Source organism: Homo sapiens, chromosome 17, assembly GCF_000001405.40.
Source record: "Homo sapiens chromosome 17, GRCh38.p14 Primary Assembly".
NCBI classification, from domain to species: Eukaryota; Metazoa; Chordata; class Mammalia; order Primates; family Hominidae; genus Homo; species Homo sapiens.
Genome location: NC_000017.11, coordinates 8,486,416 through 8,499,507, shown reverse-complemented (window position 1 = coordinate 8,499,507; position 13,092 = coordinate 8,486,416). Strand labels below are relative to the sequence as shown.

At 47.7% G+C, this 13,092-nt stretch overlaps 1 protein-coding gene across 4 annotated transcripts in view, besides 2 other annotated features; it reads left to right on the top strand.

Annotated features, from left to right (window-relative positions):
- MYH10 (myosin heavy chain 10) overlaps positions 1–13,092 on the top strand; it is a 156,514-nt gene that overhangs the window by 131,218 nt on the left and 12,204 nt on the right. For all 4 annotated transcript variants that reach the window (NM_001375266.1, NM_005964.5, NM_001256095.2 and 1 more), the window contains 7 exons: positions 32–238; positions 4,267–4,371; positions 5,623–5,775; positions 6,484–6,732; positions 6,999–7,211; positions 8,956–9,168; positions 11,914–12,075. In NM_001375266.1, coding sequence (NP_001362195.1) covers positions 32–238; positions 4,267–4,371; positions 5,623–5,775; positions 6,484–6,732; positions 6,999–7,211; positions 8,956–9,168; positions 11,914–12,075 — 1,302 coding nt within the window. The remainder of the gene's footprint in view (positions 1–31; positions 239–4,266; positions 4,372–5,622; positions 5,776–6,483; positions 6,733–6,998; positions 7,212–8,955; positions 9,169–11,913; positions 12,076–13,092) is intronic.
- Positions 10,783–11,077: a silencer, noted in NCBI's record as "tiled region #1803; K562 Repressive non-DNase unmatched - State 17:Gen3'". NCBI's record gives its function as "represses a minimal TATA promoter and a strong SV40 promoter by Sharpr-MPRA in K562 cells {active_cell/tissue: K562}" and the evidence as "EXISTENCE:reporter gene assay evidence [ECO:0000049][PMID:27701403]".
- Positions 11,639–12,139: an enhancer, noted in NCBI's record as "H3K4me1 hESC enhancer chr17:8390687-8391187 (GRCh37/hg19 assembly coordinates)". NCBI's record gives its function as "activates a minimal SCP1, AML or CMV promoter by ChIP-STARR-seq in naive H9 embryonic stem cells {active_cell/tissue: H9 hESC(naive)}" and the evidence as "EXISTENCE:reporter gene assay evidence [ECO:0000049][PMID:30033119]".

Below are 13,092 nucleotides of genomic sequence, written 5' to 3'. Positions count from 1 at the left end.
AGTGAATTATGTTTTCCCTTCCGTCTCCTAGTTCAAAGCAAATCTAGAGAAGAACAAGCAGGGCCTGGAGACAGATAACAAGGAGCTGGCGTGTGAGGTGAAGGTCCTGCAGCAGGTCAAGGCTGAGTCTGAGCACAAGAGGAAGAAGCTCGACGCGCAGGTCCAGGAGCTCCATGCCAAGGTCTCTGAAGGCGACAGGCTCAGGGTGGAGCTGGCGGAGAAAGCAAGTAAGCTGCAGGTAAGCCAGAAACCTCCGCTCTACACACGTCCCACTGTAGCATGTCCCTAATTTACCATTGTATCCCTCTGTGCAATAAGAGACCCATGGCCAATGTGCTGTGCGACACCTGAAAATTGCTATCCAGTAAATACATCGAGTCTTAGGTGTCCCTAGTGTCTATTACTTTGATGAAGTTAAATAATATTTATTTTAAGAAGAACACAGCATGATTGGACTTGATCAGTTCCACTCTGAATTGTGTTTATAGTTGCTTAACAGTTTTAAGCACTTCAGCTTCTCCATTAGTCCAGTAAATAAGAGAATAGGAACAATGGGCCAAAAAAATTATACTTCACATTGGCAAAGATTTACGAGAGTTTTATTTTTTACACTGCTGGTATAAATTAGTGCAACCTTTTTTTTTGTTTTTGTTTTTGTTTGAGACAGAGTCTCGCTCTGTTGCCCAGGCTGGAGTGCAGTGGCGCAATCTCTGCTCACTGCACCCTCTGTCTCCCGGGTTCACACTATTCTCCTGCCTCAGTCTCCCGAGTAGCTGGGACTACAGGCACCCGCCACCATGTCCGGCTAATTTTTTGAATTTTTTAGTAGAGACGGGGTTTCACCACGTTAGCCAGGATGGTCTCAATCTCCTGACCTCGTGATCCGCCCCCCTCAGCCTCCCAAAGTGCTGGGATTACAGGCCTGAGCTACTGTGCACAGCCTAGTGCAACCTCTTCTAAAGGACAGTTTGGCAGTCTTAGATCACGAGCCTTAAAACTGTGAGTATCCTTAGACCCGAAAAATCCATGTCTAGTCATTTATCCTAGGGAATTAACTAAGGATGTACACACAGAGTCAACTTCAAGAATGTTCATTGCAGAAGTGTGTACAAAAGTATATACAGTCAGCCCTCAGTATCCACTGGGGGATTACATCCAGGACCTCCTGCAGATACCAAAATCTTCTGATGCTGGAGTCCCTAATAAAAATGGTATAGTATGGGGCCGGGCGTGGTAGCTCACACCTATAATCCCAGCACTATGGGAGGCTGAGGTGGGCGGATCACCTGAGGTCAGGAGTTTGAGACCAGCCTGGCCAACATGGCGAAACCCTGTCTCTTCTAAAAAATACAAAAAAATTGGCCAGGTGTGGTGGTGCACACCTGTAATCCCAGCTACTCAGGAGGCTGAGGCAGGAGAATCGCTTGAATCCAGGGAGGTGGAGATTGCAGTGAGCCGAGATCACGCCACTGCACTCCAGCCTGGACTACAGAACAAGACTCTGTCTCAAAAAAAAAAAAAAAAAAAGGCATAGTATTTGCATATATGCACATCCTCCCATATACTATAAATCATCTCTAGATTACTTATAATACCTAAGACGATGTAACTGCTATGTAAAAAGTTGTTACACTGTATGTTTTAGGAAATAACGACTCAAAAAAGTCATGTTTTTAGGAAATAACCCAAAAAAGTCATGAACTGTACATGGTCAGTGCACATGCAGGGGTTTTTTTCTGATTTTTTTTTTTTTTTTTTTTTTTTTTTTTGAGACAGAGTCTCGCTCTGTCGGCCAGGCTGGAGTGCAGTGGCGCAATCTCGGCTCACTGCAAGCTCTGCCTCCCGGGTTCACACAATTCTCCTGCCTCAGCCTCCTGGGTAGCTGGGACTACAGGCACCCGCCACCATGCCTGGCTAATTTTTTGCATTTCTAGTAGAGATGGGGTTTCACTGTGTTAGCCAGGATGGTCTCGATCTCCTGACCTCGTGATCTGCCTGCCTCAGCCTCCCAAAGTGCTGGGATTACAGGCATGAGCCACCGCGCCCGGCCCTTTTCTGAATATTTTTAATACATGGTTGGTTGAATCCACAGATGGAACCTATGGATAGGAAGGGCTGACTGTGGTTGGAAATAACTTTAATGTTTAATACGGACTTCTATGCAACCAGCAAAAACAATATAGTCGATGAGTCCTTATTGGTAAGAAAAGATGTACATCCTATATTGCCACATTGAAAAAGAATTACAGAGCTGTCTTGTGTCCGAGGCCCAAGACCACACTACAGTACATGATTCTCCAGGACTCTAGGACTCAGCACAGAGGCCTGCTCATGGCAAAGATTTATTACAGTGAAAAGATACAAAGCAAAATCAGTAAAAGGAAAGGGCACGAGGGCTGAGGTGCTGAGGAAACCAGGAACAAGCTTCCAGGAGTCCTCTCCCAGCGGAGTCACACAGCACGTGCTTAATTCCTCCAGCAGTGAGTCCTGACAGCATGCGTGAAATGTTTTCTTCCAAGAAGCCCATTACAGACTCGGCCCCCAGGGTTTTTATTAGGGGCTGGTTACATAGGCACCTCTTGCCTAGCATAAACCCAAATTGCAGACTCCCAGAAGAAACGTAGGTGTTCAACATAGACCATATTGTTTACATGGACAGTTTAGAGAAAAGCCACCCTTATTGTTCAGGAAATAGTGGGAACTCTTGCTAAATTCAAGTTCCCACACACCAGCCAAAGGTCAACATCGCAAGCAGGCCTTTCGAAGGAGGGTGGTCCCGGCCTGCTGTGTTAACGTGTAGGTACTGAAATATTGTGTGCGTGCTCTCACACACAATCTGGAAAGCTATTCCTAAAAGAGAAAATCTCTGAAACAGCATTATGAACTCTGCCTACGGCGGGGAAGGGAGGGGAGTGACAGTTCCTTGTCCCCTGTGCTGCACCAGGCATGTGCTAGGCTCCCATGTACGTTGTTCCCCATTTAAACCTCAGTCAACCCCTCTGGTAGGTGAGGAACCTGAGGCTCAAAGAAGCTAAGGCTCTTGCCCGCTCTGGTGACTTACCTGGCAACTTCTAGAGCTGGTGCTGAAGGCAGGAGTCCCTCTTGACTTTGGAGCCCTTCCCCACCACACTGTTCCCAAGACTGATGAAGTGTGAGCTCTGTGAAGGATGTTGCTAAACAGAGTGACCATGGAAGCGTTACAGCATGTGCTCTGCTGTGGCTGTGCCACCGTCCACTCTCCCTTGGCCGGTGTGACGAGGACTAGCGAGAACGCACGGCGCCCTGCTGCCCCTCTGCGTCCCTCTGCGTCTTCCCAGCACCCACTGTCGTCAAAAATTATAAAGCATCTTATACCACAAAGATTTGTTTGGAAAATATTTTAGAAATATCATTAATTGCGAAGAAAAAAATATTATTAATTAAATCTGACCATAAGAAATAGCTTAAATATTCATGATGAACATATAATACCAGTTTTTTGAAACCTAAAAGAACTTCCAGCCGGGTGTGGTGGCTCACATCTGTCATCCCAGCACTTTGGGAGGCCGGGGCAGGCAGATCAGGAGGTCAGGAGTTCGAGACCAGCCTGGCCAACATGGTGAAACCCCGTCTCTACTAAAGATACAAAAAATTAGACGGGCGCGGTAGCAAGCGCCTGTAATCCCAGCCACTCGGGAGGCTGAGGCAGGAGAATCGCTTGAACCCAGGAGGCAAAGGTTGCAGTGAGCCCAGATTGCACCACTGCACTCCAGCCAGGGCGACAGGGTGAGACTATCTCAAAAAAAAAAAAAACTTTCTTGTACCCCTTTTATAGAAGCTTCAAGTTCTATAAGAATGTGAATTATACTTTCCTCCCAAAACATATGGTTAACGCATATTCGTGTGAAGGACCAAAATCAAGCACCTGCTGGCCTTCAGCCTCCCCACAGAGGATACAGTCACTCTTTCAGAGGCTTTGCTTTAATTTTTGTATCTTCATGATAAAAATAGAAGAAGGTAGGAAACCAGTTAGGAGACCCCCCGCCCCCTGTCCTTTTCATGGGTAGAGACTATTAAGGTGGCCAGGGAGGCAGGTTCTAGTACCTACTTATTTGAGCTCCGTTTGAAGGCAACAGACTCTTGGTGGTGAGTCTTCCTTAACTGAATGGGTAGTTTCAGGTTCACACTCCCGCCGAGTTCTTCTCTGTGTTCTGTTTAAAAGCTGTGTTTCTAGACCCTTTCTGCTTGCTTACTATTGAGTTGAATTTAATCTTCTGCTCCTTACAGAATGAGCTAGATAATGTCTCCACCCTTCTGGAAGAAGCAGAGAAGAAGGGTATTAAATTTGCTAAGGATGCAGCTAGTCTTGAGTCTCAACTACAGGATACACAGGTATTCCCTGGGGAGCAAGGGGTCTTTATAATAACTAACATTTCTGTAATATATAAGCTGGTGAAATATGCTGGCCCCAGAATTGCCTTCTGTGTCACCTCTTACTAGTTTTATGTCATACTTTTATTTGGAGCCAGCCTTGCTACTCGGGATTTCTCCCTGGAAGCTCAGTGTCTTGATGTAGAGCCCCTGGGGTTCGTGTGTCTGGCAGGCACGTGGGTGGCCTCGGAGACAGCTCCAGCTGCCATTCACGGCCGCTGCCTGGGCTGTGGTTGACCCAAGCTATGGTCCTGCTGCACACAATGTCTTGCTGGCCATTTCCAATAAGATTGTTTCCTTATGGTTGGAATTTCATCGTGCTGACCTGTGAGAAACAGTCCATTTTGTAAAAGGGTGAGTTGAGGCTTATCAGACTGTTAAGACCTGTATTGCATCATCCGTTAGGGATGTTTTTAAGTCAGCTACAGGTTACTTGAAAATAATGTAGCACTTTATTCTTGGAGTTTTACAGCTTAGTTTTGTTAAATTTACAAACACTTATGAGTGTTTATTTGCCAGGCTTTAGGCTAGGTGCTGGGGATTAAAAAAAAAAATCTCAGACAGGCCAAAAGTGGAATAATTAGGCAGTTGGGGACAAGTTCATTTTTACCAAAGCACACCCCATGCATGACAAGGTGCGGCCTGGTGAGTGAGACTAGAGGAGGCCGAAGCCATGGCCCAGAAATTCTGCTCCACACAACCAATGCCTCTGAAGACTTTGCAGTCTGAAAGTAACAGGAAAAACATGTTTGTGCTTACATTTTAGAAGTCAATCTGGCAGGAAATACAAAGGACGATAACTGAGGGATGCCTAAGACGGGAGAGGTGATCCTAGTTCGAAGGGCTGAGGGCCTGAACTAAGACGGGGCAGGGGGTGGAGAGGAAGGGATTCCAGGCGTGACTGAGGAGAGGCGGGGTGTGGTGGGGGACGCAGGAGGGGAGGCCTCGGGGATGCCTGGAGGCTCCAGCCTGGGCCCCTGGGTGGATGGCGCCGCCATTCGTTTTTCAGAGATGAGTCTGAAGCAGTGTTGGTGTGAAGAGCTTTTACAAAGTTATCGTGTGTGTTTTTAAATCATCTGTGTTTGTTAATGTCACTGGGCGTTCTCATGCATTGAGGCTGTCTCTTTTGTACGACATGAATTCTTTAATACAGGTGTATTTGTTTTGGTGATAAATGTAATGGAAGTGTTGCCCTTTAAAAAAAAAACACAGGAGCTTCTTCAGGAGGAGACACGCCAGAAACTAAACCTGAGCAGTCGGATCCGGCAGCTGGAAGAGGAGAAGAACAGTCTTCAGGAGCAGCAGGAGGAGGAGGAGGAGGCCAGGAAGAACCTGGAGAAGCAAGTGCTGGCCCTGCAGTCCCAGGTGTGCGTCCTCTTTAGGAGGCCGCGGTGGCCTCGATGTGTGCCTTCAGCAGATCCTGGCCCTGCTGTGCTGGGCTGTCTCAGCTCCATTTGGGACAGTTAATTAGGTCGTACTAAATTAAGCCCATTAAATGGTTTTTCTTGACCCAGCCACATGCTGGTTATAATGCTGGAAGCCCTTAAAATAAGGACCTAGGACTGTGTCAACGATGTAAGATTTCAATCCAGTCATCATTTTATGGACTATTAGCTAAGAAATTAAGTGACAGTCTAAGACTCATTTGTTTTAAAATCACAGTATTGATTTTTCTTCTCTCAAAATATTAAAAACAAAAGGTTTTTTTTTTCTTCAAAGGCAAAAACCAATTGAGTTCTTTTTTTTTTTTCCTTGAGATAGAGTCTCACTTTGTCGCCCAGGCTGGAGTGCAGTGGCGTGATCTCAGCTCACTGCAGCCTCCACCTCCTGGGCTCAAGTGATCCTCCCACCTGAGCCTCCCCAGTAGCCGAGACTACAGACAGGCGATTTTTGTATTTTTAGTAGAGATGAGGTTTCACTATGTTGGCCTGGCTGGTCTCAAACTCCTGACCTCAAGTGATCCTGCCGCCTCGGCCTCCCAAAGTGCTGGGATTACAGGCGTGAGCCACCATGCCTGGCCCCAATTGAGTACATTAATACTGAGCTTTCTGTTTGTCCGTACACAAAACCTAGTTGGCTGATACCAAGAAGAAAGTAGATGACGACCTGGGAACAATTGAAAGTCTGGAAGAAGCCAAGAAGAAGCTTCTGAAGGACGCGGAGGCCCTGAGCCAGCGCCTGGAGGAGAAGGCACTGGCGTATGACAAACTGGAGAAGACCAAGAACCGCCTGCAGCAGGAGCTGGACGACCTCACGGTGGACCTGGACCACCAGCGCCAGGTCGCCTCCAACTTGGAGAAGAAGCAGAAGAAGTTTGACCAGGTGGGTCGGCCACGTGTCGTTTCCTCCTGGCAGAGCTCTTGCTTTTGTTCGTTTGGTTTAAAATAATCTTATTTAAAGGCATTTAAATGTGATACATGTTTATATCAAAATTGGAAAAAGGGAAAGCAAAAAAAAAAAAAAAAAGGAAATACAAGAACACCATAATCTAGTGGCAGCACTCTAGCGATAAATCAGCCACATGGTGGAAGAGAAAAGTTGATGTCACTGTTTCGGTTTTTCGTATTCCCCCATCCCCTTCTGCACAGCTGTTAGCAGAAGAGAAGAGCATCTCTGCTCGCTATGCCGAAGAGCGGGACCGGGCCGAAGCCGAGGCCAGAGAGAAAGAAACCAAAGCCCTGTCACTGGCCCGGGCCCTCGAGGAAGCCCTGGAGGCCAAGGAGGAGTTTGAGAGGCAGAACAAGCAGCTCCGAGCAGACATGGAAGACCTCATGAGCTCCAAAGATGATGTGGGAAAAAACGTAAGTCGCCTGGTGGGCTCCACACTTCCGCACGGGAGAGTATCCCAGGGGCCTGGGCCTTCACACAGGAGCGGGCGACTCCTCAGGGGAGCCTGAAGGACCTGGGAATGCACAGCCCAGCAGCAAAGCCATCTAGGAGTGTTTTGGCCTGTGCATGCGTACGGGGTTCAGGTCTTCTGGGACTGCTGTGAGGTTTTCTGCAGTCTTCCCCCAGCACTGGCTGGAGGTGAACATGTTTCTTCTTGTCCTTTCACTGCCCTCCCTGCTCCAGCCTGCATCCTGGCAGGAGGGCCTTTCAACAAAAGGTTTCATGGTTCTGCCGTCACAGGTAGTTATCAAACATGAGGTGAGTGGGGACCTGGAGAGGAGGAGGAGGGAATGGCAGCTCCCTCTGACCTGGTTCTTCCCAGGGAGGCCCCACTGTTTTCTTTGAGAGCTTCAGTAGCTTTGGGGGCTTATCCACAGCTTGGAAGCTTCTGTGGCACAGTTTTTCTTTCCATTGCATACATCTTCCACAAGAGCTGCCATGATATTTATTTACCCTACGTCTCTCCCTTAGTGTATGACGTGTTGAAGATAGCAAAACAAACCCAGGCCTGGTATCAAAGGCAAGGTTCCCTGGCTCCTCCACAGGCTTCCATTCTGACCATGGGAAGCCACTTAAGCTTTTGAAGCCTAAGTTTCCTTATCTGCCAGATGGACATTATACTTGCCCAATTTCATGAAGTTACTGCATCTGCTTTGAAAAGCACACAAAGTCCTCTAAAAAGGCAGGATCTCATTTTCATGTGCTATGGGCCATCTGGCCACATCATAAGTCAGCGAAGGTGGTCCCACCTTTCTGCTGGGTCTCCTACAACTTGGCGCCCAGGGACTAGCCCCATGGACAAAAAGAGGCCACTGAAAGTAGAAGTGGCCATGGTTACACAGTGAAATGTGGAGAGAGAACTCTACAGTTGATTTCATGTTCGTTTTCTGTAGCATCAACACTCACATGTTGATCCCACAAACAGGTCTTTTGTGCCTACTGAGCACCAGACACTGTAGAAATGGACCTTCCTCCTGTCCTAGGATTCCCCGCGCCTGTCCCCGTGAGAACTGCAGTGGTCCTGGACCCCAGAGGGGGTGCACAGCAGCACCAAGGCCTCCCTCCAAAGGCTGCTGTGAGGGTCAAAGGGCACAGGAGGTGGAGCTCTCAGCACAGTGCTTGGCGCAGAGAATGAGGGAAATGGTGCTGGGGGCATCTTTGTCCAGAGAAAGATCAAGGCCTGTGTACTGTGCCCTGCTTCTTAGGCCCAAGCCACCCTAATAATCAGCAGTTTCCACATGTGCTTTTCAATACGAATGATCTTCTCTACAGCAAGAAGAGATGTACTGTTGTACTTGTTCCTCACAGACAGCAGGCAAGGAGTCAGTCAACAGACAGGTTCCCTGACATGGCTGTTTCCTTTGTTCTTTGGCTCACTGAAGAGCTCTCAGCTTAAAGGTCATCAGAGGAGGATGACCAGAGAACACGTGGGAATAAAGACATCCGCACTGTAGTTCTGAACTGCATACACTGAAATGGAGAATAGCAGCAGCTTTCAGGGGAGAGGGAAGGATGTGTATGCATGTGGCAGGGGGCCGGCCCAGGGGGACCAAAGTGGCCAGCATGCCACGAGTGGGCCTGTAAAACAGTAAGACTGCTGTTCTTCATATGTGCCTCCACCCCGGTCAACTCTTTCCTGATGCTTCGGTGGTTTAGGTTCACGAACTTGAAAAATCCAAACGGGCCCTAGAGCAGCAGGTGGAGGAAATGAGGACCCAGCTGGAGGAGCTGGAAGACGAACTCCAGGCCACGGAAGATGCCAAGCTTCGTCTGGAGGTCAACATGCAGGCCATGAAGGCGCAGTTCGAGAGAGACCTGCAAACCAGGGATGAGCAGAATGAAGAGAAGAAGCGGCTGCTGATCAAACAGGTAGGGCAGAGGGTGCGGCCTCCACAACAAGGGGTGCAGGCTCTCAAAGCCCAGCTCTGGGTCAGTATCCTGTTCATTCGTGTTAGAACACATCTGAGTAAACACAGAGTAACACATAGAGTAAAATGAATTTATTTGGTCATTTGAGAATTTTATTATTTAAATTTTATTGTAATTAGTTTAGGTCTTACTATTTCTCAGTATCATTCCTGCCTACAAGCCAGACACTTATCAGTCAGAAAGCCCTCAGTGGACTCCCAAAGGAATCCGTGGTTAGGTTCAAGTTCCTTGTCTTAGAACATGGGTATAGGAAAGAATTGATGCATCCCAGACACGGTGATTCGGCAGATGTCTGTGGTTCAGATTCCAAGTCCTAATAATTAGATCACTCTTCAAAAGGAAAAAGAGCAGATATTTAAATTTGTCCTTTTATAAAGTTGCTATCCATGTATAAGTTGTATACTTTTCTGAATGTATATTAGACACTTTTCTGCATATATGTTAAATTTCTAGTCTAAAACTTTACTTTAAAAATGAATTGTGGGTATTTTGCCAGTCCCTTCCAGTTCATGGCAGTAAGTTTTGGATTTGGGGTGTGTGTGTGTGTGTGTGTGTGTGTGTGTGTGTGTGTTTTTTCAGACGGAGTCTCGCTCTGTCACCCAGGCTGGAGTGCAGTGGCACGATCTTGGCTCACTGCAACCTCTGCCTCCCAGATTGAAGTGATTCTCCTGTCTCAGCCTCCCAAGTAGCTGGGACCACAGACACACACCACCATGCCCAGCTAATTTTTGTATTTTTAGTAGAGACGGGATTTGATCGTGTTGGCCAGGCTGGTCTCAAACTCCTGGACTCAGGTGATCTGCCCGCCTTGGCCTCCCAAAGTGCTGGGATTACAGGCATGAGCCACCATGCCCGGCCAGATTTGGAATTACTGAATTTTGCTTTATTTTGTTATTTTCACTCCACTAATTATTGATCATTTATTGCTGGATAAGAAATTACCCCAAACTTAACAAATTATTGCAAACTGTGACAACATTTTTGTCACAGTTTCTGTGGGTGAGGAATTGGGAAGCAGTTGAGTCAGTGGTTCTGGTACAGTAAGGACCTCGGCCCTGGCTGCATAATTCGAAGGCCTGACCAGGGCTGGAGGAGCGTGCCAAACTGACTCACACACATGGTGTCAGCAGGAGGCCTCAGCAGCTCACCACATGGGCCTCCTGACTGTCCTGGAGGGAGCTTCAGGAGAGTGAGAGATCCAAAAGAAAGCAAGCAAGGAGGAAGCTTCCGGGCCTTTTATGACCTCATCTCCCAAGTCTCATGTGATCACTTGTTTATTCTGTTTATTAGAAGCAAGTCACTAAGTCTGGCCCACATTCAAGAGGAGATTATGCTCCAACTCTTTAAGGTGGGGAGTATTAAAGAATTTGTAGAAATTTTTTTAAACCACACTTTGAAATTCATGTAAGTGGCTCTACATTAGGAGCCTTCTGCTATCCTGTGCCTTGAGGTACAGCCCCAGGTCTCTGCAGAACACAGCAAGCAGATGACGAGCACCTCTGCCCTATGCGGAAGCAGCTGCCCTGCTCCTCCTCTCCCATGCCAACCCCTGCAGAGCAGCAGCAGCGGTGGCCTTGTTTCTCCCCTTTGGAGAGGACCAGTGGAGCCACCACTCCGTCAAGCCTTGGTGCCTCCATACCAGCTCCCACACCAGCCATCATCCTCTTTGCAGGAAGCGGAAGGTTGTGAAGGCAGGGACCTTTCTTTGCTCGCTGAGCCTCCAGCTGCTACTGCACTACATAGGGTGCAGGTATTTATTAAGGTATTTATGACCTATACCTTAATAAATACATGACGAAACATTCATTTATGGCTGAATAAGTGGAAGAAGCAGGACAGGTTGGGAAGACCATGTCAAGGCAATGACACACAGTCCCTGTGGACTCATGGGCTGATAAGGTTTGGAGCTCAACAGCTCTGTGTCTGGTCCTCATCATTGGTGACAGAGGCGTTAGGATTTGGTTTAAGGACTCCAGAGCACCTTCTTCTGAGCATCCCTCACACAGTGTGAGCACAGTTCCCTATCCCCACTGCACACTAGGAGGCTGAGTGAAGAGTGCCACAGAGTGAGTGAGTGGCTGACAGGTGTGTCCACCTCGGTTTCCAGCCCACATCTTACTCATCCTCACTCTCCCATCTGCCTGCTCCAGAGCAGGCCTTCATTTTGTCCCTCCTCCATTGGACAGCTTTGACTGCTCCCCCCTTTCCTGCTGATCAAAGGCAGTTTCTGCCTGGTTCTGACACCCCTGCAACATGGCCATGCCCCATGTCCTCACAGCTCTAGGAAACAGGAATGCCTGCTTAGTCCTCTGTACCTCTTAGCAACCACCCCATGCCCGCTCTGTGCCTACCCCAGCCTTTATTACATGGTTACCGTATTGTCTTGGGTTTTTCCATCTTGGCTTCATCTACACCGAGCTCAGGTCACTGGCTGCCTTCTCGCATGCCCTCGTAGCAGTCAGTGGGATGGTTTGTACTAGGTGGTGGTGTTTAAAGACCCCTTTGAACAAAATTCAGCTACTGTGGTTTTCTGTTGATAGTAACTGTTTGGTAACAGAGACCTCTACAGAGTAACAGAAGTTTCCACTCACCCGAGTAACCAGAGCCCCCCACTTGAGAACAGTCTGCCTGTTCTGCGAGCAGATACTTGGATGTAACCCAGCATAACCCGATGTTGTCCATTAGGTGCGGGAGCTCGAGGCGGAGCTGGAGGATGAGAGGAAACAGCGGGCGCTTGCTGTAGCTTCAAAGAAAAAGATGGAGATAGACCTGAAGGACCTCGAAGCCCAAATCGAGGCTGCGAACAAAGCTCGGGATGAGGTGATTAAGCAGCTCCGCAAGCTCCAGGTATGTGCCTTCACCCATGGAGTCTCTGGATGGCACCACGTGACCTATGTGGCTTTTACACAGAGTCCAGCAGTGAAGCTGGGGGGCACAGCACCGCTGTCAGCGTGGCCGGGGGTGGGGCAGCAGGCCATAAAGAGAGTGCTTGTGTGTCCGCTGTGTCCACAGGAGATACTTGAATGCACTTAGCAACACAGTTGGGGTGGAGGCATCATGCTGGCCTCCTGTGGCCCTGAGAGCCTGTGGCGATGCTTAAAACCCACCCTTCCTCACCTCGAGAGGAGGGTCATGTTGACCCAGCCCCTTAGTGCTGTAGCTTTTGTGATCTTTTTGGTCTGTTTTAATCGTCACTTTTTCTACCCAGATGATGTGCCAGTTTTCATTACCACAATGACAAGAAGTGATCTCTGCAAGAGTTCATGGTGTGAGCAGGCAGGCAGGGGGCCCTCACCTATAGGATGGATGGGAGCAACTTCTCAGGGGAACTGGTCCGTTAATGATGAAAACTTTTCCTTTGACCTTGTTGATACATCTTGAAAATTTAACAAAATATAAAGAAGAAATTTTTATGTACAAAGATCTTTAGCAGAAGTTTTGTTATTTATGATAGCAAAAATGGAAACCCCCTAAATGTCAATGGACTGCTAACCATCTAAGTGATGGGGTGTGTGGGGAATGATGGCCAGACTTAAATGAATAAAGGAAAATATGGTGTAGGACGGTTTGACTTGTAACTCTACACATGTGTGTGTATACATTTTCACATACAGACATGTAGGCAGACATACTATACCTAGAAAAAAGTTTGGAGGGAAAGTCATCTCTGGGTAATAGGTTGGTAGGAACTTGTTTCCATTTTTTTTTTTTTTTTTTTTTTTTTTTTTTTTTTTTTGAAGCTAAATATAAAGATTTTTTTTTTGTTTTTTTTCCCAGAGATAGAGTCTCAGTCTGCTACCCAGGGTGAAGTATGGTGGTGCAGTCATGGCTCACTGCAGCCTGGGCTCAAGATTTTTATTAGCT